The 27,489-nt window shown below is 43.5% G+C and overlaps 1 protein-coding gene, 1 long non-coding RNA gene and 1 pseudogene across 2 annotated transcripts, besides 3 other annotated features; 1 reads left to right on the top strand and 2 right to left on the bottom strand.

Annotated features, from left to right (window-relative positions):
- Positions 841-20,685, top strand: SNIP1 (Smad nuclear interacting protein 1). Its single transcript, NM_024700.4, has 4 exons — positions 841-1,128; positions 2,387-2,489; positions 14,379-14,977; positions 17,122-20,685. The coding sequence occupies exons 1-4, from the start codon at positions 905-907 to the stop codon at positions 17,384-17,386; spliced, it is 1,191 nt and encodes a 396-aa protein (NP_078976.2). The 5' UTR covers positions 841-904; the 3' UTR covers positions 17,387-20,685.
- Positions 1,059-1,118: a silencer, noted in NCBI's record as "silent region_673". NCBI's record gives its function as "represses an Ori minimal core promoter by ATAC-STARR-seq in GM12878 lymphoblastoid cells {active_cell/tissue: GM12878}" and the evidence as "EXISTENCE:reporter gene assay evidence [ECO:0000049][PMID:35858748]".
- FTH1P1 (ferritin heavy chain 1 pseudogene 1) lies at positions 9,676-10,571 on the bottom strand (annotated as a pseudogene).
- Positions 14,244-15,443: an enhancer, noted in NCBI's record as "BRD4-independent group 4 enhancer chr1:38005292-38006491 (GRCh37/hg19 assembly coordinates)". NCBI's record gives its function as "activates an origin of replication core promoter dependent on BRD2, P300/CBP, MED14 and CDK7 cofactors, and independent of BRD4, by STARR-seq in HCT116 cells {active_cell/tissue: HCT116}" and the evidence as "EXISTENCE:reporter gene assay evidence [ECO:0000049][PMID:35650434]".
- Positions 16,398-24,111, bottom strand: LOC105378649 (uncharacterized). The gene is made up of 3 exons (XR_947190.3): positions 23,589-24,111; positions 21,151-21,247; positions 16,398-16,445 (listed from the first exon to the last, which is right to left on the bottom strand). It is a non-coding gene; the product is annotated as an uncharacterized LOC105378649 (long non-coding RNA).
- Positions 20,269-21,468: an enhancer, noted in NCBI's record as "P300/CBP strongly-dependent group 1 enhancer chr1:37999267-38000466 (GRCh37/hg19 assembly coordinates)". NCBI's record gives its function as "activates an origin of replication core promoter dependent on BRD2, BRD4, P300/CBP, MED14 and CDK7 cofactors, with strong dependence on P300/CBP, by STARR-seq in HCT116 cells {active_cell/tissue: HCT116}" and the evidence as "EXISTENCE:reporter gene assay evidence [ECO:0000049][PMID:35650434]".
- Positions 24,112-27,489: the final 3,378 nt, after the last annotated feature.

Raw genomic sequence — 27,489 nt, 5'->3', positions numbered from 1 at the left:
GCTTCTTCAGTTCAGCTTGTCAGTGAGCCGTATTTTGGGGTTTTGGTTTCTGAGCCCCAACAGCATTGCAGAAAGTTCAGGAAATAGAAGAGGAAAAGCTAATGATTTGAAAAGCTAATGATTTGCCCATGGGTTATCATCTCTGATTGCATTTCCATTTCTTCCTCCCTTCTATTTCCAAATGTAAATGTAATTATAGTTTGCACACAATTTTGTATCCTGCTTTATCGTTAACAAGTCAGGGTTTTTAAAGTTTGTAAATGGTTTACTAATGGCCACATAACACCCATTAATTTGGCTAACTTCCCTACTGCTGGTATTTACATTGTTTCCACGTTTTGTAATTACTAATAATGTGGCAACAAACAGCCTTGAGAGGTTTGCTTTTTCCCAGTTTTTGTTGTTGTTTGTTTTTGAGACATCTCGCTCTGTTGCCCAGGCTGGAGTGCAGTGGTGAGATCCCTGCTCACTGCAACCTGCGCCTCCAGTTCAAGTGATTCATTTGCCTCAGCCTCCCGAGTAACTGGGATTGCAGGTGCGCGCCACCACACCCGGCTAATTTTTGTATTTTTAGTAGAGACGGGGTTTTGCCATGTTGGCCAGGCTGTTCTCTAACTCCTGACCTCAGTGATCCGTCAGCCTCGGCCTCCCAAAGTTCTGGGATTACAGGCGTGAGCCACCACTCCCAGCCAGAAGTTTGTTTTTGAAACTTGAAACTCCCGCCACCCAAGCCTGTCGCTGCGGCCACACCCACTAGGGAGTAGTCACGTGTTTAACCTTTGCCGCGAGGATTTCTGGGAGCCTGGGCACCCCGGAAGCGGAAGTCCAGGAGTTAAACTCGTCATTTCCTCCAGCTAGAGGAGCTCAACTGATCTGTTTTCTTTCGCCCAGCCAAAATCACAGAATGAAGGCGGTGAAGAGCGAACGGGAGCGAGGGAGCCGGCGAAGACACCGGGACGGGGACGTGGTGCTGCCGGCGGGGGTGGTGGTGAAGCAGGAGCGTCTCAGCCCAGAAGTCGCACCTCCCGCCCACCGCCGTCCGGACCACTCCGGTGGTAGCCCGTCTCCGCCGACCAGCGAGCCGGCCCGCTCGGGCCACCGCGGGAACCGAGCCCGAGGAGTTAGCCGGTAAGTGGGGGAGCAGTCCAGGATGGACATTGGGTTGGGCTCATTCAGAAAGGCGGGCAGGGCTAGCGTCCGAAACAGGTTTTGAATGGTGGGCGCAGCAGCCCGGACTTAATCCTGAGGGGCTGTTGAGAGTGATCCAGTCGTGCTTGTGTTATGCTTGCTCTGTCACTTGCATTATAGCTCGGTGTTCAACGCCTAATGACTAACCGGCAGGATCCCACTCCTTCATTCTTGTGTTCCTAGCACTTCGAAGAGTGTGGCCCAACAGATAGCACTGATAATCTGTTAAATTGGATTGAGATTTTCCCCATCCCTCCCACAAATGGAGTGTGGGCGTTGTCTTTCCGGTTACCTGCCAGAAAGGTTTTCACATCGAGGTCTAAGCGAGCTACCTAACAGAAACTGGGGAAAAAAAAAAAGTTACTTCTTGCTAGACTCATTTATTTATGCATTCATTCACCATAGTTTTACTGAGTGCCTATTAAGTGTTAAAGACTGCCCTAGGTATTGGGGCTGCAAGGGTGATTCAGTTAGATGATCTTCACCGATGCCAAATTGGCTATGCTCTAACCCTGAGACATGATAAAAAAATAAACAAAATAGTTTCAGTTAGTAACAAGTATTATTGATAGATTAAAACAGTAATGTGATAGTGAGAGATTGGAGAGAAGAGGGAGGAGGACTCTCTAAAGAGGTGCCATTTGAGCCCAGACCTGACTGATAAGAATGATCCAACCTCTTAAAGATCCAGGCAGAGGAAACAACATCTGCAAAGAACCTGAAGTAGAATGAATTATGATTGAAATGGGAAAAAGCCAGTGTCGGTGGATTATAGTGGTCAAGAAGGTGGGTGGTAGGAATGAGATGGCACAGGGAGGAAGTAGAACCACAGGATGGAGGGATTGTTATTGATGGTAGGGGTGTTGGTAGTGAAGGATAAAGAGTCAAGGGTGACTTACGGATGGTGATGCCAATCAGCGAGATGGCAAGGAGTAGGAGAGGAAAGGTTTTTGAAGGGTTGGGAATTAAGAGTTATGTTACCTAAGTGAGAAGGTTCAGTAGACAGTTGTCTATGTGAGTATGGAATGCAAGGGAGATGTTAGGGCTAGGAAAGTGAACCTCGTGACTCCTTTAATGTGACCGGCAGAGACCTTCACAAATGCGGTGTTTGTGTTAGTAGGTAAGCCTGATACTGGAAGCTAATTTTTATGGGGGAAGGGAAATTGCGATAAAATCCTGTGTACCATGCTCTGAATAGGTCCCCACCCAAAAAGAAAAACAAGGCCTCAGGGAGAAGAAGCAAGTCTCCTCGCAGTAAGAGAAACCGAAGTCCTCACCACTCAACAGTCAAAGTGAAGCAGGTAAGTGGATTGGGGTGTTTTGATGGGTCCAAATTGAGAGCCTTTTCCTATCACAGCTAAAGAGGAATGTGTGTGTGTGTTGTGTGTGTGCACACATGTGCACGTACGCTCGCCTACATCTCTACTTGTACCTCCGATGGGCTTTTCTGAAAACTGGCTGTATTTATTTTTTCTGCTTGTTTGCTTAAATTAAACTTTTTATTTTGAGATTATTATTGGTTCACATGCAGTTGTCAGAAATAATTCAGGGAGATATACTCTTCCTGGTTTCTCCCAGTGGTAACATCTATTCATAACAGAACTGTGGTACAATATCATCATCAGAATATTGACATCGATATAGTCAAGATAACATTTCCTTCACCGCAAGGAATACCTCGTGTTGTCCTTTTGTAGCCAAACCCACTTATCTCCCACTTTTATCCTTCCTTAACTTCTGTCAACTTCTAATCTGTTCTTCATTTCTATAATTTTGTCATTTCAAGAATGTTATGTAAATGGAATCATACAGTATGTAACCTTTAGGATTGTCTTTTCTCACTCAGCAGAATCCTTTGGAGATTGATTCAGGTTGCATCTCTCAGTAGTTTGTTCCATTTCATTGCTGAGTGGTATCCAAATGGCATGGATTTAGCCACTTACTCATTAAAGAACATCTGGGTTGTTTCCATTTTTTGGCTATTACACATAAAGCTGCTATATAGACATTTGTGTACAGGTTTTTATGTGAACGTTAAGAGTTCATTTCTCTGGGATAAATGCTCAGGAGTACAATTGCTGGATTGTACGGTAGTTGCAGGTTTAATTCTTTTAAGAAATTGCCAGACTGTTTTCCAGAGTGGCTGTATTAGTTTACCTAGGGCCACCATAATGAAATACCATAGAGTAGGTGGCTTAAACAACAGAAATTCATTTTCTTGTAGTTATGGGGCTAAAAGTCAAAAATTAGGGTGTTAGCAGGTTTGGAATCTCCTGAAAAAAAATCCTCTGTCCTTGGATTGCAGATGGCTACCTCTTTGCTATATCCTCAAATGATCTTTCTTCTGTCCTGTTGTCTTTTCTCAGCCATATTGGATTAGGGCCCTACCCTCATTTTAACTTAACCAGCTCTTTAAAGACCTCATCTCCAAAAAGTTATTAATACATTCTGAGGTACTTGGGTTTGGTACTTTAACATGCTAATTTTGGAGGGTACAATTTAGTCCGTAATAGTGGCTGTATCATTTTATATTCCCACCAGCAATGTATGAATGATCCGGTTTCCCTGTATCTTTATCAGCATTTCAAGTTATCACTTTATTTTAGCCATTCTGATAGGCGTGTAGTGGTATTTCATTGTGATTTTAATTTGCGTTTTCCTTTTTTTTTTTTTTTTGAGACAGAGTCTGGCTCTGTCACCCAGGCTGGAGTGCAGTGGCACGATCTCGGCTCACTGCGACCTCCGCCTTCTGAGTTCAAACGATTCTCCTGCCTCAGCTTCCCGTAATTTGCATTTTCCTAATGGCTTATGATATTGGACATCTTTTCTTTGTGTGTCAGTGTGTGTGTGTGTGTGTGTGTGTGTGTGTGTCACCCAGGCTGGAGTGCAATGGCGTGATCTTGGCTCACTGCAATCTCCCCTTCCCAGGTTCAAGTGATTCTCCTGCCTCAGCCTCCTGAGTAGCTGGGATTACAGATGCCCACCACCACGCCCAGCTAATTTTTTGTATTTTTAGTACAGAAAGGGTTTCACTATGTTGGCCAGGCTGGTCTCAAACTTCTGACCTCGTGATCTGCCTGCCTCGGCCTCCCGAAGTGCTGGGATTACAAGCGTGAGCCACTGCACCTGGCCTTGGACGTCTTTTCATGTGCTTATTTGCCATCTATATGTATCTTCTCAGGTGCAATGTCTCATGTCTTTTGCCTGTTTATTTTTTATTTTTTATTTTTTATTTTTTGAGACGGAGTTTCACTCTTGTTGCCCAGGCTGGAGTGTAATGGCGCGATCTCAGCTCATTGCAACCTCAGCCTCCCAGGTTCAAGGGATTCTCCTGCCTCAGCCTCCCAAGTAGCTGAGATTACAGGCTCGTGCCACCATGCCCAGCTAATTTTTGTATTTTTAGTAGAGATGGGGTTTCGTCATTTTGACCAGGCTGGTCCTGAACTCCTGACCTCTGGTGATTCACCTGCCTCAGCCTCCCAAAGTGCTGGGATTACAGCAAAGTGAGCCACCATGCCCAGCTATCTTTTGCCTGTTTTCTAATACTATTATTTGCTTTTTTACTGTTTAGTGTTTAAGAATTCTTTTTATATTGTGGATACTAGCCCTTTGGGGATAAATGGTTTACAAATATTTTTTCCCAGTCTGTAGCTGTCTTCATTTTCTTAACAGGGTTTATCTCAGAGCAAAAGTTTTTAATTTCAATGAAGTCCAGCTTATCTGTTTTTCCTTTTATGGATTGTGCTTTTGATGTCATGGCTAAGAACTTTTTGCCTAGCCCTAGATCTCTGAAATTTTCTCCTAAATTTTTTTTCTTAAAAGTCCATGATCTGCTTTCAGTTTCTTTTCAGGGTTTCAGGGTTTTTGTTTTGTTTTGTTTTGTTTTGTTTTGTTTTTGTTTTTTTTGCCTATGAATGTCCACTTGCATCAACACCATTTGTTGAAAAGACCATCTTTCCTCCAATGAATTACTTTTGCTCTTTTGTCAAAAATCAGTTGGGCATATTTGTGTGGGTCTATTTCTGGAATCTCTGTTCTGTTTCATTTGTCAGTGTCTGTCACTCTGCCAATACCACACAGTCTTGATTACTATAGCTATATAATAAGTCTTGAAATTGTATGGACTGATTTTTCCCATTGTAGTCTTCTTTATAAAAATTGCTTTAGCTATTCAGCTTCTTTTTTCATCCATGTAAGTTTTAGAACAATCTTGCCTCTATTTTTAAAAAGTCTGGGCCGGTCACAGCGACTCATGCCTGTAATCCCAACACTTTGGGAGGCTGAGGTGGGCAGATCACTTGAGCTCAGGAGCTCCAGACCAGCCTGGGCAACATGGTGAAACCCATCTGTACAAAAAATACAAAAATTAGTTGGGCGTGGTGGCATGCCTGTGGTCCCAGCTACTCAGGAGGCTGAGTAGCTCCTGAGTGGGAGGATTACTTGAGCCTAGGAGGTTGAGGCTGCGGTGAACAGTGATCATACCACTGCACTCCAGCCTGGGCGACAGAGTGAGATCTGAAAGAAAAGTCTTGCTAGGATTTTGATAGGATTTGTGTTAAACTGGCGTTTGGGGGCAATAATTGACTTTTTACTATGTTAAATCTTCTAATCCATGAACATTGTGTATCTCCCCTTTTATTTAGATCATCTTTGATATCTTTTATCAGTGGTTGTAGTTTTCAGCTTATAAATCCTATACATATTTCTTTGTGGAATGATTATAAAGGGTATTTTAAATGAGTGTCCAAATGTTCATTGTTACTATATAGAAATATAATTCATTTTTGTGTGTTTATCTTCATCCTATATCCTTGCTGAACTAATGTATTCTAGTTTTTTTTTTTTTTTAAGATTACTTGGGATTTTCTACGTAGACAATCATATCTACAAATAGGGACAGTTTTATTTCTTCCTTTACAATCTGAATGCATTTTATTTCCTTTTGTTGTTTGCATTAGTCCGTTTTCATGCTGTTGATAAAGACATACCCGAGACCCGGCGATTTACAAAAGAAAGAGGTTTAATGGACTTACAGTTCCACATGGCTGGAGAGGCCTCACAATCATGGTGGGAAGCAAGGAGGAGCAAATCACACGGATGGCGTCAGGCAAGGAGAGATAAAAGAGTAATGAGAGCAGACACTCTTGCCTTATTCTCAATTTTGAGGGATGAGAATTCAGTCGTCTTTTTTTTTTTTTTTTCTTTTTTTTTTGAGACGGAGTCTCGTTCTGTTGCCCAGGCTGGAGTGGCGCAATCTCTGCTCACTGCAGCCTCCGCCTCCTGGGTTCAAGGGATTCTCCTGCCTCAGCCTCCCAAGTAACTGGGATTAGAGTCTGGGCCGATCACAGTGGCTCATGCCTGTAATCCCAGCACTTTGGGAGGCCGAGGCGGGTGGATCACCTGAGGTCAGGAGACCAGCCTGGCCAACATGGTGAAACTTCGTCTCTACTAAAAATACAAAAATTAGCTGGGTGTGGTGGTGGGCGCGTGTAATCCCAGCTACTTGGGAGGCTGAGGCAGGAGAATCACTTGAACCTGGGAGGCGGGGATTACAGTGAGCCAAGATCGCACCACTGCACTCCAGCCTGGGTGACAGAGCAAGACTGTTTTAAAAAAAAAAGCAAATTTTAAAAGACAAATAACAGTATAACAACTATTTATATAGCATTTACGTTGTATTAGGTATTATAAATAACCTAGTGATGATTTAAAGTATACAGAAGGATATTCACAGATTTTTATATAAGGAACTTGAGCATCCTAAGATATCTTTTTTTTTTTTTTTTTTTTTTTGATATGGAGTCTCGCTGCGTTGCCCAGGCTGGAGTGCAGTGGTGCGATCTCGGCTTACTGCAAGCTCCGCCTCCCGGGGTTCACGCCATTCTCCTGCCTCAGCCTCCTGAGTAGCTGGGACTACAGGCGCCCGCCACCATGCCTGGCTAATTTTTTTGTATTTTTTTTTTAGTAGAGACAGGGTTTCACTATGTTAGCCAGGATGGTCTCCATCTCCTGACCTCGTAATCCACCTGCCTTGGCCTCCCAAAGTGCTGGGATTACAGGCATGAGTCACTGCACCTGGCCCTGAGATAATCTTTTTTATCCACTGGGGATCCTGGAACCAATCTCCTGAGGATACCAAATGATTACTTTATTCTTTTCTCAACCTCTGAACCACCATTTTGTGTTTTTTTTTGGTTGTTGTTGTTGTTTGTTTGGTGAAGTGTTGCTCTGTTGCCCAGGCTAGAGTGCAGTAGTGTGATCTTGGCTCACTGCAATCTTTGCCTCCTGGGTTCAAGCGATTCTCGTGCCTCAACCTCCCCAGTAGCTAGGATTACAGGCACGTGCCACCATGCCCGGCTAATTTTTGTATTTTTAGTAGAGACGGGGTTTCACCATGTTGGCCAGGCTGGTCTCAAACTCCTGACCTCAAGTGATCCACCTGCCTCAGCCTCCCAAAGTGCTGGGATTACAGATATGAACCACCGTACCCAACTGAACCACCATTTTCGAAACAAATGTATTGATTACATGCTCATTGTAATAATACAGAGGTATGTAAAATATAAAATGAGAGTATGGTTTACTTCTCTCGTCCCCAAAATTGCACCACCTCCTCAACCAAAAAACCTCCACCTCACTTGCCAGAGGTAATCACTATGATATAGACTCTCTGTCCATCATCACATGGCCTTCTCCCATGAATCTCTCTATCTCTTCTCTTCCAAGGTCACCAGTCACGTGGGATTAATGACCTATATTACTTCAGTATGACCTTAATTTATTACATCTGCAGTGACCCTCTTTCTAAATAACGGAGAGATAAACATTTGAGACTCACCTGCATATAGGTGTATGTAAAGTATTAGGATTAGATGAAAATTACTAAGGAAATGACTGTAGATAGAAGAACAACCAACAAAGGACTGAATCCAGGGGCGATCCAGTGTGAAGAAATTGCAGTGACATCAGCAAAGAAGACTGGAAAGAAAGAGAAGCAAGAGAATCTGGTAACTTGAAGCCATTAGAAGGAAGTGTGTTGAGGATAGAGTGATTAACTCTGTTAGATGCTGCTGATAGTTAAGTGAAATGAAGACTGAGAATTGGCCACTGGATTTAGCAACATGGAGGTCACTGGTGATCTTGACCAGCAATTTTAGTGGAGTAATAAGGGTGAGACCTGATTGGAGGGGTTCAAGGGAAGACAGAGGAGAGGAATTGGGAACTGAATTTTTAAAAACAATACTTTTTCTTTCTTTCTTTCTCTTTTTTTTTGAAACAGAGTCTCACTCCGTCACCCAGGCTGGAGTGCAGTGGTGCAATCTTGGCTCACTGCAACCTCCACTTCTGGCGTTCAAGTGATTCTTCTGCCCCAGCCTCCCAAGTAGCTGGGACTGTAGGCACGTGCCACCACATCCAGCTAATTTTTGTATTTTTAGTAGAGATGGGATTTCACCATGTTGGCCAGGCTGGTCTTGAATCCCTGACCTCAAGTGATCCACCCACCTCAGCCTCCCAAAGTGCTAGAATTACAGACATAAGCCACCACACCCGGCCGTTATGGCTTATTATAATGACTCTTAATAAGGGATAAAGGACATGATGAGATTAGTCCTGGTGAACTCAAGGCAGATAGCAGTGGCAAGCTTGTAAATGTTTTGGAGTAGGAAGGGTGGTTGTCTGAGGCTCTCTCTTGATGCATGTCTGTGCTAGGCTAGGAAGTCTAGAAAAACTGAGTCCCACTCTAAGCAAGCAGCCCCTCACTTGAGCCCTGTGTATGGCAGGGAGCGGGGGGGGGGGGGGTCTTAGTCCCAGTGCTTCCACTTTTAGGGTATTGCGAATAATGCTGCAATGAACATGGATGCTCAAGTATCTATTTGAGACCCTGCTTTCATTTGTTTGGGATATCCAGAAATGGGATTGCTGGATCATATGGCGATTCTATTTTTAAATTTTTTATGGAACCACTGTACTGTTTTCCGCACTAACTATACCATTTTACATTCCCACCAGCAGTGTACAAGGGTTCTGATTTTTCCACATCTTTGCCAATACTTGTTATTTTCAGTTTTTTGATAGTAGCCATCCTAATGGGTGTGGAGTCACCTAAATTTTTAGTTTTTAATTTTATTTTTATTATTATTTTTAGAGAGGGCGGCGGGTGGGTCTCACTATGTTACCCAGGCTGGTCTCGAACTCCTGGACGCAAGTGATCCACCCGCCTCGGCCTTCCAAAGTGCTGGGATTACAGGTGGGAGCCACTGCGTCCTGCCTGCCTAATCATTTTTATTATTATTATGTATTTTTTAAATTAGGGGCCATGCTAATTTTTGTGTCATTCTAATTTTCTCCCTAATCATTTTGAAAGTCTCTTACTGCTCTCTGCTTTAAAATTTTTAACCTTAATTATCTGTAAACATTTTTGTACCTTACCTAGTCCATAACAAGAAGTTTTTTCTTTGTTTTTTTTTTTTTTTTGGTGGGGGCGGGGGGTACCAAATTTCTTTATTTGAAGGAATGGTACAAATCAGCTTAAGTGGATGTTTTGGTACAACTTATAGAAAAGGTAAAGGAGACCCCAACATGCATGCACTGCCTTGGTGACCAGGGAAGTCACCCCATGGCTATGGGGAAATTAGCCTAAGGCTTAGCTTTCATTATCACTGTCTCCCCGGGGTGTGCTTGTCAGAGAAATATTCTGCCAAGCCAGATTCGGGTGCCCTCATCTTGCGCAAGTTGGTCACATGGTCACCCAATTCTTGATGGATTTCCCCTGCTCATTCAGGTAATGTGTTTCAGTGAAGTCACACAAATGGGGGTAATTTTGTCGGTGGCCAGTTTGTGCAGTTCCAGTAGTGACTGATTCCCAAGTTTTTCCAAATGTAATGCATGCTCCATCGCATTCAGCCTGCTCTCCCAGTCATCATGGTCTGGTTTCTTGAAGTCCCGAAGGAAGAAGATTCAGCCACCTCATTGGTTCTGCAGCTTCATCAGTTTCTTGGCATGTTCCCTCTCCTCATGAGATTGGTGAAGAAAGTATTTGGCAAAGTTCTTCAAAGCCACATCATTGTGGTCAAAGTAGTAAGACATGGACAGGTAGATGTAGGAGGCATAGAGCTCCACGTTGATCTGGCGGTTGATGGCGGTAGTTCTGGCGCACCTGCGAGGGGGACGCGCAGTCGTCATGGTGGTGGCCACGGTGGCTGTGCGGCGGTGGCTGCACGGCGCTGGAGTGGCGGCGGGGGCCTTGGGACAGTCAGAGGGCCCAGTGAAGAGGTAACAGAGGGCTAGCTATGGGCGGCCAGCCGGAGTGGGGTACGAGTGCCTGGTTCCGTCCAAGCACTGTTGAACCAGGAAACTCCAGGGACTTTCCGCAAAGAACGTCTCATTTTTTTCTTTTTGAAACAAGAATACACAACAACATTTTTGTACATGAATGAAGTCCTTGGGGATCTACATCTATAAGACTTGTTTCTTTCTTTCTTTTTTTTTTTTTTTTTTTGAGACAGAGTCTCATTCTGTCCACCCAGGCTGGAGTGCAGTGGCGTGATCTCGGCTCACTGCAACCTCCGCCCTCCGAGTTCAAGTGATTCTCCTGCCTCAGCCTCCCAAGTAGCTGGGATTACAGGCGCCTGCCACCGCGCCCTTCTAATTTTTTGTATTTTTAGTACAGACAGGGTTTCACCATCTTGGCCAGGCTGGTCTTGAACTCCTGACCTTGTGATCCACCCACCTCAGCCTCCCAAAGTGCTAGGATTGCAGGCGTGAGCCACTTCGCCCGGCCTCTTGTTTCTTTTTTTTTTTTGAGACGGAGTCTCTCTTTGTCGTTCAGGCTACAATGCAGTGGCTCCATCTCTGTTCACTGCAACCTCCACTTCTGGGTTCAAGTGATTCTCCTGCCTCAGCCTCCCGAGTAGCTGGATTACAGGCATGCGCTACCACACCTGGCTAATTTTTGCATTTTTAGTAGAGACGGTTTCACCATGTTGACCAGGCTGGTCTTGAACTCCTGACCGACCTCAAGTGACCTGCCCCCCCCCTTGCCCTCCCAAAGTGCTGGGATTACAGGCGTGAGCCACCATGCCCAGCCTATAAGACTTGTTTCTGCTGCCTCTCATGCTCAGTGGCTTGTTTCCATTTCCTTGTGTGTGTCTAGTATTCTTTAGTATTTGAGCTTATGCTTAGGGCTCAAATCTTTTTTTTTTTTTTACCCCCCTTTGGAGATTTTTTTTCTCATTGGAGATTTTGCCTTGCTTATTGAAAGCCCAACAGTGCATTAAAAATTTAATAAGTATCTAGTTAAATTATAGTGGGAACATCTCTCCAAGTAGCTCATCTGCCAAGTCTATATATAGAAATATGTGGTCTTATTGTGAAACTTGCCCCTTCTCTTTTTTCCCCTCCCATTTAACAATATATTAGATATCTTTCTATGTCATTATCTCATTCTTTTTCATGGCTGTGAAGTATTCCTTTGTATGAATAGATAATAATTTAACCATTCTACCATTGCAGGACATTAGGTTGTTTCCAGTTTTTTTTTTAAATTACGAAATTACAGTAAACACATTCATATGTATGTCTTTGTGCGTTTCTGCTAGTATTTCTGTAGGATTGATTTCTATAAGTGGCATTAGTGGTTGATGAGATTTTGATTAAATAATGTCAAATTGACCTAAATAGGCTATGCTAGTTTATACCTGTACCAGCAGTGGCTGAAAATACCCATTTTTCCTGTACCTTCTTTTTTGACTCTAGATATTATTGATCTTTTTAATTTTACTAATTAAGGAGAGAAAATTCATATTTCTTTTAGAATTTGATGCTTTGGTTATTAGGGTAAGCATATCTTCATGTATTTATTGGACATGTAATTCTTTTTTTTTTTTTTTCAAGACAGGGTCTCTGTTGCCAAGGCTGGACTGCAGTGGTATGATCATAGCTCACTTCAGCCTCGACCTCCTGGGCTCAAGTGATCATCCCACCTCAAATTCCGAAATAGCTGAGATTACAGGTGCATGCTGTCGTGCCTGGCTAATTTTTGTATTTTTTGTAGAAATGGGGTTTTGCCATGTTGCCCTGAGCTTAAGCAGTTCTCCTGCCTTGGCTTCCCAAAGTGCTGGGATTACAGGCGTGACCCACTGTGCCCGGCCCTTGGACATTTATTTCTTCTGAAAATTGTTCATTTTTCTGTTCTTTTTTTATTTTTGAGACAGAGTCTTGCTCTGTCATCCAGGCTGTAGTGCAGTGGTGGAATCTTGGCTTACTGCAATCTCTGCCTCCCAGGCTCAAGCGATCCTCCCACCTCAGCTTTCCGAGTAGCTGGGACTACAGGCATGCACCACTGTGCCCAGCTAATTTTTGTATTTTTAGTAGAGACAGAGTTTCGCCATGTTGCCCAGGCTGGTCTCAAATTCCTGGGCTCAAGCGATCCATCGCCTTGGCCTCCCAAAGTGCTGGGATTACAAGTGTGAGCCACTGGCACCTGACCATTTATCAGTTTCTCTGTTGAATTATTTCTTATTGATATATTAATATGCAGTAGTCTCCCCTTATCTGTGGTTTCACTTTCTGCATCTGAAAATATTAAATGGAAAACTCCAGAAAAAAACAACTCATAAAATTTAAATTGGTCACTATCCTGAGTCACTTGGTATAAACTTCTGCTGTCCCACCAGGAACGTGAATCCTTCCTTTGTCTGGTGTATCTGTGCTGTATGCGCTACCTGCCTGTCCATCACTTAGTAGCCATCCTGATTTTCAGAAAACTGTTGCAGTTTGCAGTGCTTGGATTCAAGTAACCTTTATTTTATTTAGTAGTGGCCCCAAAATGCAATAGTAGTGATTTTGGCAATTAGGAATGCTAAAGAGAAGCTGTAAAGTGCTTCCTTTAAACGAAAAGTTGAAAGTTCTCAACTTAAAGAAATTAAAACAAAAAAAAACTTTTCAAATCATATATTGAAGTTGCTAAGATCGATAGTAAGAATGAATCTTCTATTGTGAAATTGTGGAGAAGGAAAAAGAAATTCATGCTAGTTTTGCTGTTGTACCTCATACTGTAAAAGTTATAGCCACAGTTCACAAGTGCTTAGTTAAGATGGAAAAGGCATTACATTTATGGGTGGAAGACATGAACAGAAATGTGTTGCATTTGATGGCAGTCAGGTTCGGTACTATCCGTGGTTTCAGCCATCCACCATACTTAAAATGTATCCCCCTGGGACTACTGTATGGTTTGTGTTGCAAACATTTTCTACCAGGCTGAATTTTTTTTTTTTTTTTTTTTGAGAAGGAGTTTCACTCTTGTTGCCCAGGCTGGAGTGTAATGGCGTGATCTCGGCTCACTGCAACCTCTGCCTCCCAGGTTCAAGCGATTCTCCTGCCTTAGCCTCCTGAGTAGCTAGGATTACAGGCATGTGCCACCACACCTGGCTAATTTTGTATTTTTAGTAGAGACAGGGTTTCATCATGTTGGTCAGGCTGGTCTGGAACTCCTGACCTCAGGTGATCCACCCGCCTCGGTCTCCCAAAGTGCTGGGATTACAGGCTTGAGCCACCATGCCTGGCCTAGGCTGATTTTCATTGCTATCTTTTTCAAGAAATCATGGTATGTTTCTCCATTTCTTCACATCTTTAAAAAACATTTATTTTAATGAATTTTTACAGATTTCTTCTTATATGTCTTTCATGTTTCTTAAGTTTATTTCTAGGTATTGAATTTTTTTTTTAACTATGGAAGTAGGATTTAAAAACTTACTATTATATTTTCACTTTTGGCATGAGAGAAAGCTAGTTTCTTTCTTTACATATCTTGTACCTGACTACTTAACTCTTAGTTCTATTTTCTGTATATTCTTCCCTGTAAGTTTGCCCATAGTTACCTTTGTTCTGAAAAGGAGGGAATTATTTTTCCTTCTCCTTTCTGGACTAAATAGTCTCTTGTTTTTAGGGCTGTGGACCTGGACTTGTGCTATTAGGGCTATAGTTGAATAGCAGCATGGGATATCATCTTTGTGGCCTTGCGAGGGAACATAACCACCAGACATAATCTTATTTCTGTGGGAAATGTTGTTCTAAATGCCAAAGTCCAAATTACAAGACTTTTTGCATGCACTTCGTTCAAAAAGAACAAGATTTGGGCTGCCTTTAGATTGTGCACTGCGTTTAAATTACAGAATCTGTTTGAATTTTAGGAGCGTGAGGATCATCCCCGGAGAGGACGGGAGGATCGGCAGCACAGGGAACCATCAGAACAGGAACACAGGAGAGCTAGGAACAGTGACCGGGACAGACACCGGGGCCATTCCCACCAAAGGAGAACGTCTAACGAGAGGCCTGGGAGTGGGCAGGGTCAGGGACGGGATCGAGACACTCAGAACCTGCAGGCTCAGGAAGAAGAGCGGGAGTTTTATAATGCCAGGCGACGGGAGCATCGCCAGAGGAATGACGTTGGTGGTGGCGGCAGTGAGTCTCAGGAGTTGGTTCCTCGGCCTGGTGGCAACAACAAAGAAAAAGAGGTGCCCGCTAAAGAAAAACCAAGCTTTGAACTTTCTGGGGCACTTCTTGAGGACACCAACACTTTCCGGGGTGTAGTCATTAAATATAGTGAGCCCCCAGAAGCACGTATCCCCAAAAAACGGTGGCGTCTCTACCCATTTAAAAATGATGAGGTGCTTCCAGTCATGTACATACATCGACAGAGTGCGTACCTACTGGGTCGACACCGCCGCATTGCAGACATTCCAATTGATCACCCGTCTTGTTCAAAGCAGCATGCGGTCTTTCAATATCGGTAAGTAACATGGAGGAAGAAACTGTAATGTGAGCAGAAACAATCACTCAGTTAGGATTACTAAGATTTTTGTTCATGTTTATGCAGAAGAATCCCATACCCCTCATATGTTATCTAAAGAGTATTGTTAATCTAACTGCCCTTTAAATAATTGCTTACATATTTATAAGAACATTAAACTTTTAATCTATTTTTTATTTTTTTGTGACAAGGTCTCACTCTGTCACCCAGTCTAGAGTGCAGTGGAGCAAACACAGCTCACTCCAGCGGCAACCTCCTGGGCTCAAATGATTGTCTCCTGCCTCGGCCTCCTGAGTAACTGGGACCACAGGCGTGTGCCTCTGTGCCCAGCTAATTTTGAAACTGGATCTTGATAGCTTGCATGGGACATCTGTGATGATTCTCACAACAATCCTGTGAGAAGGATAGGATAGATTTTTTGTTTTTTGAGACGGAGTCTCGTTCTGTGCCCAGGCTGGAGTGCAGTGGCGCGATCTCAACTCACTGCAACCTCTGCATCCCGGGTTCAAGTGATTCCCCTGCCTCAGCCTCCCGAGCAGCTGAGAGTACAGGCACACACCAGCACACCCAGCTAATTTTTGTATTTTTAGTAGAGACGGGGTTTCATTGTATTGGCCAGGCTGGTCTCGAACTCCTGACCTCGTGATCCGCCTGCCTTGGCCTTCCAAAGTGCTGAGATTACAGGTGTGAGCCACTGCGGCTGGCCCGTTTTGTTTGTTTGTTTTTTAACATGGTCTCCTGACTTCGAATGGACACGTATTTGTATCCCCATTTGACAGATGAGAAGACTGAAGCCCAGCAAAACCAAGTGACTTGCCTAACAAATGATCACTATAGTACAGTGGTCCCCAACCTTTTTGGCACCAAGGACCAGTTTCATGGAAGACAGTTTTTCCATGGAACCGGGGGAATTCGGGATAATTCAAGTGCATTACATTTATTGTGCACTTTATTTTCTAATACTATCACATTGTAATATATAATGTAATAATTATACAACTCACCATAATCTAGAATCAGTGGAAGCCCTGAGCTTGTTTTCCTCCAGCTTGATGGTCCCATCTGGGGGTGATGGGTGACAGTGACAGATCAGGCATTAGATTCTCGTAAGGAGCGCGCAACCTAGATCCCACCTGTGCACAGTTCACAATAGGGTTCATGCTCCTACGAGACTCTAATGCCACTGCTGATCTGACAGGAGGCGGAGCTCAGGCAATGATAATTCAAGTGATGGGGAGCAGCTGAAAATATAGATGAAGTTTGGCTCGCTTGCCTGCTTGCCCGCTGCTCACCTCTTGCTGTGTGGTCCGGTTCCTAACAGGCCACGGACTGGTACCAGTCCATGGCCCAGGAGCTGGGGACCCCTGCCATAGTAGAACTCTGGCTCAAATATAGCTCCCTTGACTCTGAAGTCCAAGTGCACTGTTTTTTCCCATTTGGACAGGAACTAAAATATATTGAAATATAGGTTAAAGAAACATTATGTTGATTATAAACAACAGAAAAAAATGTATTTTCTTAACCACAGCAAGAGACATTGGATTCTGCATTTCCACCTTTTGATCTACCATGGATTCTCCCCACCTTCCAGCAACTCATTCTCACCTTTTTTTTTTTTTTTTTTTTTGAGACAGAGTCTCGCTCTGTTGCCCAGGCTGGAGTGCAGTGGCGTGATCTCGGCTCACTGCAACCTCTGCCTCCTGGGTTCACGCCATTCTCGTGCCTCAACCTCCCAAGTAGCTGGCTCCACAGGCGCCCGCCACCATACCTGCCTAATTTTTTTGTATTTTTAGTAGAGACGGGGTTTCACCATGTTAGCCAGGATGGTCTCCATCTCCTGACCTCGTGATCCGCCCGTCTCGGCCTCCCAAAGTGCTGGGATTACAGGCGTGAGCCACCGCGCCCGGTCCATTCTCACCTTTTCTAAGTATATTTAAACTTCCAATTTTCCTTCCCAGGGCCATGCTTTCCCCTTGATTTCTTTGATTCCCTAGAATTTTAACTTGAATTGTGCTCAAGCCAGGTTATTTACGTCATCTAGGCTATCTTAGCAAAGAGCTTTAGAGAAGCTGGATGATCTGAGGCAGAAGTTTGCTCACAGGTTTCTCCTTTTTTTCTGCTAGGCTTGTGGAATATACCCGTGCTGATGGCACAGTTGGCCGAAGAGTGAAGCCCTACATCATTGACCTTGGCTCAGGCAATGGAACCTTCTTAAACAACAAACGTATTGAGCCACAGAGATACTATGAACTAAAAGAAAAGGATGTACTCAAATTTGGATTCAGTAGCAGAGAATACGTCTTGCTCCATGAGTCGTCGGACACTTCTGAAATAGACAGGAAAGATGACGAGGATGAGGAGGAGGAGGAAGAAGTGTCTGACAGCTAGCAAACTAAGAACCCAAACTATTGATACACGGTTTCCTTCTTGGAAGTCTTTGATTGACTCAGAGAGCACTATGGTGGTGGGTCCAGCACTATGGTGCTCTCTGTAATGCCTCTTACTGCCTTAAGTCTTTCCTCTGTTGCTGACCAGATTGTGTTACCATTTGAATACACTGACTAATGTTTGTTAAACTTTTTCTGTGGCACCTTGGCCACATGCCTGCAGGCATTTGTTTTCAGAACAGTCTCACCAATTACAACACACCGTGTTTTAGTAGAAGTGTTGTGGTTTTAGTTGGTGCTTTCAGAACTGCTGCCTAGGAAACTATAAACCCTTGGTTAAGGGGAAATCATGGCTTGTTCTCTTTGTACAGTTACTTTATTTATATAGGTGTTAAGCTTTGTGGACCAGGTGTTTTTCTTTTGGGGCGAACCCCTGAGCAGAGAATCTTACTAGGCTTTGGTTATCACCAAAACAACCTCCAGTATATACCAAAGCTTTGACTTGTTTGAGCTCTTGAGCTTAGAAGTTGATTTTGCACTTATTTTTTTGGGGGGTGGGAATGTACTGCAGTCAGTAAACATTATTGACTGTTTAACTTAAACAGATGCTTTATGGCACCTGCTCAAGCCCGTGACTGTACAGAAGGATCCTGGTTGCTACCAGTGGGTGCTGATTCAGCATCACAAGTGACTGAAATTGGCTGTGGATCTGTTCTTTGTGAAAGAATTCCTGATTTCTCCATGGAGCATGTACACAACAATTTTGATCATATTAACTGTACTTCAGTTTTGCATTTTTATTCAAATGTTATCTCTTTTTTTCTTTGAGAAATAAACTGTCACTGATGTGACAGCGTTCTTTCTTTATTCTAATAACATGTATAGATCTAAAGCAGGTTGTGTTGTTTACATGTTTCTACACATTTCATCCTTTAAAAAGTTGTTGAGAGAGGTTGTATTTACCTTCCCAAGGTTGGAAAGCAGGGGAATTTCCCAGTGTCCTAGTTTTCCACCAGAGGAATATGTGTAAGTAGCAAAGTATTTGCTGCTTACATATAGTGTGTATGTATGTATATATGTAAATTGTGTGTTAAAGAGCTGATACTGATTTTCATATGACAATGTTAGGCAAAGGCCTCCCTGCATTTGAAGAGCAGGTTTTCATTTATATGTATTTTTGGGATAAAAAAATAAAATTTGTAAATATAGCCCCATTTCAAAGAGTAATGCTTTCCTAGCGTAGAGGACCTTGTGTTCATAGGTCTGTTTGCTGCTAATGGAGCCTTCTGTCAGTACTTTTGAGATAAAAGTAGGTAGCTGTTTTAGAGTGTTGTGGGGCAGGTTATATCGTTGGCCTCCAAGTCAGTGGAATAGCAGATGGTGACATGGAGGTGGGTTGTGGGGAAAGGTGGTGAAGCAGCTCAATCAGTGTTACTACTAATTGTTCCTCTTGGGTTGAGACTTAGGATACTATTAAATTTGATTGTTTTCCATTGTTTTTATACCCATGTGTGCTCAGGGCTAAAGATTGGCTAGTGGGAGGGGCAGCTGACTAATGTTCATTCAGAAGAAGTTAAAAGATCCTTTGAAAAGTGAACACTTAATAAGGTCATTAGATGAAACGTAAGTTGGGCCGGGCATGGGCACAGTGGCTCATGCCTGTAATCCCAACACTTTCGGAGGCTGAGGTGGGCAGATCATCTGAGGTCAGGAGTTCAAGACCAACCTGGCCAACATGGTGAAACCCCATCTCTACTAAAAATACAAAAATTAGCTGGGCGTGGTGGCACATGCCTGTTTTAATCCCAGCTACTCGGGAGGCTGAGGCAGGAGAATCGCTTGAACCCGGGAGGTGGAGGTTGCAGCGAGCTGAGATTGTGCCACTGCACTCCAGCCTGGGTGACAGCGAGACTCTGTCTCAGAAAAAAAAAAAAAAGGTAAGTTGAAGAATGTGTTCTACATTGGCCACTGTAACTGCTATTTTCTTCATTTTGGTATGTGCCATAGATCATATATATGTGCTTGTCTGAAAAGTAGGTTTGTTTGGATGAACTTTTCTCTTGATCCAGACTGACGGTTTTCTCTTGAGGGTTTAAGCACTAATCTGGTATCTTACTCTAGGATCTCCTTGTTCAGTCTGTGCTGCAGTAGCACTACTTTGTGGTAGCCTTGAGTTTTGCTACAAACTTCATCCTGGTGGGCACTGTGATAGATGACCACTTTGCCTACATTTTTCAGTAAGAAGTCCTAATTGTTTAGTCAGTTTTTATTTTAGTAGAGGAATAACGTCCTGGATTAAGAAATTCTTTATGCCACATATCTGAGAAGGTGGGTTTTTTTGTTGGTTTGTTTGTTTTGAGATGGCGTCTCACTCTGTCGCCCAGGCTGGAGTGCAGTGGCACCATCTTGGCTCACTGCAACCTCCGCCTCCCAGTTTCAAGCGATTCTCCTGCCTCAGCCTCCCAAGTAGCTGGGACTACAGGCACCTGTCACCAAGCCTGGCTAATTTATATATATAATTTTTATTTTTTATTTTTTTTTAGTAGAGATGGGGTTTCACCATATTGGCCAGGCTGGTCTCGAACTCCTGACCTTGTGATCCGCCCCTCTCAGCCTCCCAAAGTGCTGGGATTACAGGTGTTAGCCACCAGGCCTGGCCTGAGAAGGTGTTTTTTTTTTTTTTTGGTCTTGTTTTCCCTTACCCCTTTCTTTGAAGAAAGGGTGTCAAAAGACATTACCTGCCTCTAAAGCCAGATATCACCAGCAGACTTCTTAAAGTGGACATAATCCTAGAGCTTTCATTCTGTTTAGAAGTTCATGTTCATCTTAGCCATTTGGAACTTCTTCATTCTCTATCTTTTCTCCACGGTGGCTGGGCTTGTCTGCAAATCATTGTGTCAAAATCAAACTATTTTCAAAACAGCCCTTTGCTTCTGAGCCCCTCCCCTAAGTCCTCTGTGGGGGTCCATGATTCTGCAGAGGTATGGGACAGAATCTTCAGATTTTACCCCTTGAGTCTCTTCCTAGTCATATCCTGGTTCCCTCATTCTAATATTGACAAAGGATGACTCATTAAGTGCAACTGGTTATGTAACTTTCAAATACTTTCATTGTGTATGTCAGGATCTGAGGAACAAAATGATGTCATTTAATCGGAATCTAAACGTGACACAAACAACGTGCCAGCAATACCTGCTTGTGAAATAATGTTCTGAGCCCACAGTGTTCCTGGGTATGTGAGTTTATATCAAGTGAAAAGGCTGCTTAATTGACATTAAAGTTTTGGAATGTAAAGCTTCATTTGGTCTCTTGGGTAAAATTTCCAGTGTATTTATCAAATGGGAAACAATTCTAAAAACAGTTGTTCACATTTACTCTAAAGTGAATTAATCCAGTCAGCAATAGTTGCATAAGTTTATGCAGTTGGTTTACAGCTAAGTTAGAAAGGGAGCAATAGCCAGGTGTGGTGGTATGTGCCTGTAGTCCCAGCTACTTGGGAGGCTGAGGCAGGAGGATCACTTGAGCCCAGGAGTTCAAGACCAGCCTGGGTGATATAGTGACACCTCATCTTTTAAAAAAAAAGAAAAACAAATAATTTGGAGATGGGCCGCACCTTGTGGAAGAGATGACAGTTGAGGTATACCTTAGAAAATAGTTTGATTTGGAGTCAGTAGTAAAGGAGGACATCATGCCAGACTGAGCAGTCCAGGGACTAGCAGGACTGCAGTGGACTGTGGATAAGACCCTATAAATTAAGTTGTTTACCTCAAGACCCATGACACGTCAGTGGTAAACCTGGGATGAGAAATCACCTCAGTCCTGGCTCAGTGATCTTCCTGCTGGATTGTTCCTGCCTGCAGAGCTTAGCAGAGAGTTAAGGAAGGAAAAGACAACTGATTCATTAGGCTGCCCAATTCATAACTAGGGGGTTCAAGGAAATCACAGGAGGTGGGACTTTCTGCAGTAGAGGGTGGCTTAGGGAAATCCTCACCTCACCAAGTCACAGCTAGAGCTACTTGGAAATCATCATCTTGGTTCATAAAAATAGAAAAATATTCAGTAACGGGATGCCAAAGAACATGTAAACTGAGACTTCAATAATAAAACTGGCCAATATTGAGCACTTTCTATGTACCAGGCACAGTCCTAAGCATTTTACTTGTCCTACTTCATTCATGAACTCATTGAATCCTCACAACCCAACAAGACAGGCTTCAACGGTTGTTCCATTTTGCAGATGAGAAAACTGAGGCACAGGGACATTATGGTCACAGTGGTAGGTAGGACTGGAATTTAGACCCAGTCACTCTGATTCTAGATGCCACATTCTTTTTTTTTTTTTTTTTGCTTTGTCACCCAGGCTGGAGTGCAGTGGTGCAATCCCCACTCACTGCAACCTCTGCCTCCTGGGTTCAAGTGATTCTCGTGCCTCAGCCTCCTGAGTGGCTGGGATTACAGGTGCACACCACCACGCCCAGCTAATTTTTTGTATTTTTAGTACAGACAGGGTTTCACCATGTTGGCTAGGCTGGTCTCGAACTCCTGACCTCGTGATCCGCCTGCCTCGGCCTCCCAAAGTGCTGGGATTACAAGTGTGAGCCACCACACCCAGCCAATTTATTATGTTTTTGAGACAGGGTCTCTCTTTGTCACCCAGGCTGGAGTGCAGTGGCACAGCACCACTCACTGCAGCCTCGATCTCCTGAGCTTGTCATCTGTGCACCTCAGCCTCCCAAGTAGCTGGGACAACAGGCACACACCACTACGCCTGGCTAATTTTGTAAGTTTTTGTAGAGACGGGGTCTCCCTGTGTTGACAGGGCTGGTCTTGAACTCCTAGGCTTAAGTGATCTCCTGCCTCAGCCTCCCAAAGTGCTGGGATTACAAGTGGGTCACACACCCCTCCTTTTTTTTTTTTTGTTTTTAGACATGGTCTTGCTCTGTCACCCAGGCTGGAGTGCAGTGGTGTGATCTCAGCTCATTGCAGCCTTGACCTCTTGGGCTCAAACAATCCTCCCACCTCAGCTGCAACTGTCAGCCTGGCTTTTTTTTTTTTTTTTTTTCTGTAGAGACAAGGTCTCTCACTATGTTGCCCAGGCTGGTCTTGAACTTCTAAGCTCAAGTGATCCTCCTGCCTCAGCCTCCCAAAGTGCTGGGATTATAGGCATGAACCACTGTGCCAAACCTTAAACAATTTTTTTTAGAGATTGGGTCTCACTGTGTTGCCCATGCTAGAGTACAGTGGCACTATTATAGTTCACTGCAGCCTCACACTCTTGGGCTCAAGTGATCCTCCTGCCTCAGCCTCCTGTGTAGCTGCGACTATAAGCACACTACCATCCCTGGAATTTTTTTTTTTTTTTTGAGATGGAGTCTCGCTCTGTCGCCCAGGCTGGAGTGCAGTGGCGTGATCTCGGCTCACTGCAAGCTCCGCCTCCTGGGTTCACGCCATTCTCCTGCCTCAGCCTCCTGAGTAGCTGGGACTACAGGCGCCCGCCACCATGCCTGGCTGATTTTTTGAATTTTTAGTAGAGACGGGGTTCCACCGTGTTAGCCAGGATGGTCTCGATCTCCTGACCTTGTTATCCGCCCACCGCAGCCTCCCAAAGTGCTAAGATGACAGGTGTGAGCCACTGCACCTGGCCTAATTTTTAAAATTATTTGTAAAGACAAGGTTCTGCTATGTTGCCCAGGCTGGTCTCAAACTCCTAGTCTTCTTCCTACCTCAGCCTCCCAAAAGGCTGGGATTACAGGCGTGAGTCACCACACGTCATAGATTTTCTTTTGAAGACAACTTTTGGCTAGGTGCAGTGGCTCATGCCTGTAATCCCAGCCCTTAGGGAGGCCAAGGCAGGCAAATCACTTGAGCCCGGGAGCTTAAGACCAGCCTGGGCAACATGGCAAAACCCCGTCTCTGCTAAAAATACAAAAAATTAGCTGGGCATGGTGGCGTGCACCTGTAGTCCCAGCTACTTAGGAAGCTAAGGTAGGAGGAGCGCCCTGAGACTAGGAAGTCCTGGCTGCAGTGAGCAGTGATAGCACAACCGTAGTCCAGCCTAGGCGACAGAGTGAGACTCTGTCTCAAAAAAAAAAAATCCCAAAACAAAAACATTTTCTCTCTACATTGATTACATACAAATCTCAGATTTAAGATGCTCTTGAGCCTAGGAAGCCAAACCAAGGCAAACTTTAGACTATACTTACAGTTTAAAGGTTCTTGGATCTGCCAGATCTTGATCAAAAGGGACAAATGTGAAAGATGTCCTTTTTGTTGTTGTTGTTGTTGTTTGTTTTTTTGTTTTTTTTGAGACAGAGTCTCACTCTGTCCCCCAGACTGGAGTGCAGTGGCTCAGTCTCGGCTCACTGCAGCCTCCGCCTCCCAGGTTCCAGTGATTCTTCTGCTTCAGCCTCCCGAGTAGCTAGGATTACAGGCACGCACCACCTCACCTGGCTACTTTTTGTATTTTTAGTAGAGATGGGGTTTCACCATGTTGGCCAGGCTGGTCTCGAACTCCCGACCTCAGGTGATCCGCCCGCCTCGGCCTCCCAAAGTGCTGGGATTACAGGCATGAGCCACCACACCTGGCTGAAAGATGTCAAGTTTGACTCACTTAGTGTAGGGCCAGGAACTCTTGAAGCTAGGCATTGTATGCATATTCTTAAATATAACATTTCAGTCAAAGCCTTAGTAATATAACCAATGTTTCCAACTGTATCCTGCCTGTAAAAAGAGAGTAGATTTTATTATTTTTTTTTCTTCTGTCATCCAGGGAGTACAGATTTTTATTGAACTGGTGTAAATAAAAATAAGAACACTCATGACTAGTTTCCAAAATTTGGGGAAATCAAGTAGGAAGGAAAAGCAAATGCAAACTATAGATAGCTTACAGAAAAATTCCTTAAATTTGGAAAACACTTAAAGAACCTATAATGTTTTAAATAAAAGCCATAAAAACACTATCTTCATTCATAACTTTATTTCCTGTAATTAATTTTTTGTTTTGCTTGAATCTTGATAATCAATTACATGAACCCATCAATTTCCTTATTAGTGTTCTGGAAATTTTTGTTTAGTCCATTGTTTTTCTTTTTCTTTTTTTTTTTGAGACGGAATCTTGCTCTGTCGCTCAGGCTAGAGTGCAGTGATGTGATCTTGGCTCAATGCAACCTCCGCCTCCCGGGTTCAAGTGATTCTCCTGCCTCAGCCTCCTAAGTAACTGGGATTACAGGTGTGCTCCAACACGCCCGGCTAATTTTTTTGTATTTTTAGTAGAGATGGAGTTTCACCATGTTGGTCAGGCTGGTCTTGAACTCCTGACCTTGTGATCTGCTCACCTCGGCCTCCCAAAGTGCTGGGATTACAGGCGTGAGCCACCGCGCCCGGCCTAGTCCATTGATCTTAAAGTTATCAGAACTCTGTGTTCAAGAGTACTTGTAGGCTGAGTGTGGTGGCTCATGCCTATAATCTCACCTTTGGGATGCTGAGGTGAGAGGATCACTTGAGGCCAGGAGTTCAAAACAAGCCTGGGCAACAAAGTGAGACTCCATCTCTACAAAAAAATTTAAAAATTAGCCGGGCATGGTGGCCCTTATCTGTGGTTCCAGCTATTTGGGATGCTGAGGCAGGAGGATTGCCTGAACCCAGGAGGTCAAGGCTGCAGTGAATCATGATAATGTCATTGCACTGTGGCCTGGGTGACAAAGCAAGAGCCTGTCTCAAAAGAAAAGAAAAAAAAAAAGAGGCCAGGTGCTGTGGCTCCTATGGCTCACACCTGTAATCTCAGCACTTTGGGAGGCTGAAGTGGGTGGATCACCTGAGGTTAGGAGTTTGAGACCAGCCTGGCCAATTTGGTGAAACCCTATGTCTACTAAAAATACAAAAATTAGCTGGTCATGGTGGCGGGTGCCTGTAATCTCAGCTACTTGGGAGGCTGAGGCAGGAGAATCGCTTGAACCTGGGAGGCGTAGGTTGCAGTGAGCTGAGATCATGCCACTGCACTCCAGCCTGGGCAAGAAGAGTGAAACTCCGTCTCAAAAAAACAAACAAACAAAAAACAAAGGCTAGGCGCGGTGGCCCACGCATGTAATCCCAGCAGTTTGAGAGGCCTAGGTGGGCGGATCACCTGAGGTTGGGAGTTCGAGACCAGCCTAACCAACATGGAGAAACCCTGTCTCTACTAAAAATACAAAATTAGCGGGGTGTGGTGGCACATGCCTGTAATCCCAGCCACTCGGGAGGCTGAGGCAGGAGAATCACTTGAACCCAGGAGGCAGAGGTTGCGGTGAGCCAAGATCACGCCATTGCACTCCAGCCTGGGCAACAAGAGCGAAACTCCATCTCAAAAAATAAAGACTTGTTAGAGTCTCTTCCATGAAAAGCAATCTTGGTCTTGGTCTATAGTTGATTACAAATGCTTTTGGAGAAGAATTCAAAACAATAGCTGTGAATAACAACAACTTAGAGTAGTCTTGGTTAAAATCTGATGAAAGTTCCCAGTTGGCAGGAAAATGTAGTTATGTTTATTACAAGCAGTATTTAAGAGAACAGCCAGAGCCATGAATGACAGCATCACATGAGGATCATCAGACTTTTATAAATGTTATATAATCTTTAGAATACTCACATTAATAACATACCCATACAGATATAACTTTAGATAAGGTTTAACATGACAAAATAATACCTGATGGCATTAGATTTATATGCATTTACATAATTTTGAAACACTAATATCAATAACATACTTATAAATTTAACTTAAAGATGATCCAGGTTGCTCTGCCTATGTAGTAGCCATTCTTTTATTCCATAAAAAAAAAAAAAAGATCCAGCATCACTTATTTGACAATTCCTCCCATGCAATTAACCAAATAAATCTAATCACTTATTATCTATACAAGTTGAGTGTTACATTCTTTGAGGTTCTCCAGGGGTCCAACTAGAAAAATCCCAAAGTTAATTCGACATCAAAAAAACTTAATCTGACCCTGAAAAAGCCTGCCAAAGATGTCAAAAGGTTAAAAATACTTAATCAAAACAGAATCACAGGTCACTGTAAAATAATACTCATTTAACCAGAATGGAAATCAAAATACTTCAAAAGCAATACAGAAGTTACATGGTAAAAAACCTTAACCCTTTTAAAGCTCAGTTTTCTAAAGTAATCAAAAACTTAATAAAGACAATGCAGAGGCTGGGTGCGGTGGCTCAACGCCTGTAATCCCAGCACTTTTGGAGGCCAAGATGGGTGGATCACTTGAGGTCAGGAGTTTGAGACCAGCCTGGCCAACATGGCAAAAACCCATCTCTACTAAAAAAAAATACAAAAATTACCCCGGCTACTCGGGAGGCTGCGGCAGGAGAATTGCTTGAACCCTGGAGGCGGAGGTCGCGGTGAGCCAAGATTGCACCACTGAACTCCAGTCTGGGTGACAGAGCGAGACTCCATCTCAAAAGAAGAAAAAAGGCAATGCAGGAATTATCTTGATAAAATGTAATGTCATTTTTTTTTTAGGCCAGTTACCAGAAAGGTAAAGAAAAACTTCCTGTAGTGGAAATGCTTTTCCATATGTCCATATGGGAAGCCCATTTAGATGCCCTGAAAGTCAAACCTGATGGAAGAGGCACTTTAATTTAATTAGACACAGGAAGACTGAGTCCAGTGTTATAAGTGTACATTATATTATTAGAGGAATGTATATGAGAGGAAGGTAAGCTAGAAAAGTAATACCACAAGCAGGAGAGTACAGGGCTCTTAGTATCAGCATGGGACATTTCCTAGTTACATGGAACAATTCAGACACATCAAGAAAACCCAAGAGTACAGAATCCAGTTAAACCGTAAGAAAACCCTGCTTTTCTAGACCTTCAAGAGAAACATTTCAACATCAGACCATAACAGCAGACTTAGGAGAAAAAAAAAATTACAGGAATTGACAGGTTGATGTTAGCACCTCAGCCAAACATAAAGCTATACCTTTGCAAGTTGAGAAAAAACAGAAGGCAGTGATATATGACCTGAAAAGCATATGCAGTACGGTACAGCAAACGTTGAGCTTCTGAAATATAAATCTGAGAAGTCTCAAAAGGAACAATTTTACCTAA

This window comes from Homo sapiens, chromosome 1 (assembly GCF_000001405.40).
Source record: "Homo sapiens chromosome 1, GRCh38.p14 Primary Assembly".
NCBI classification, from domain to species: Eukaryota; Metazoa; Chordata; class Mammalia; order Primates; family Hominidae; genus Homo; species Homo sapiens.
Note: the sequence above shows the minus strand (reverse complement) of the source record. Positions and strands in the feature narration are given on the sequence as shown.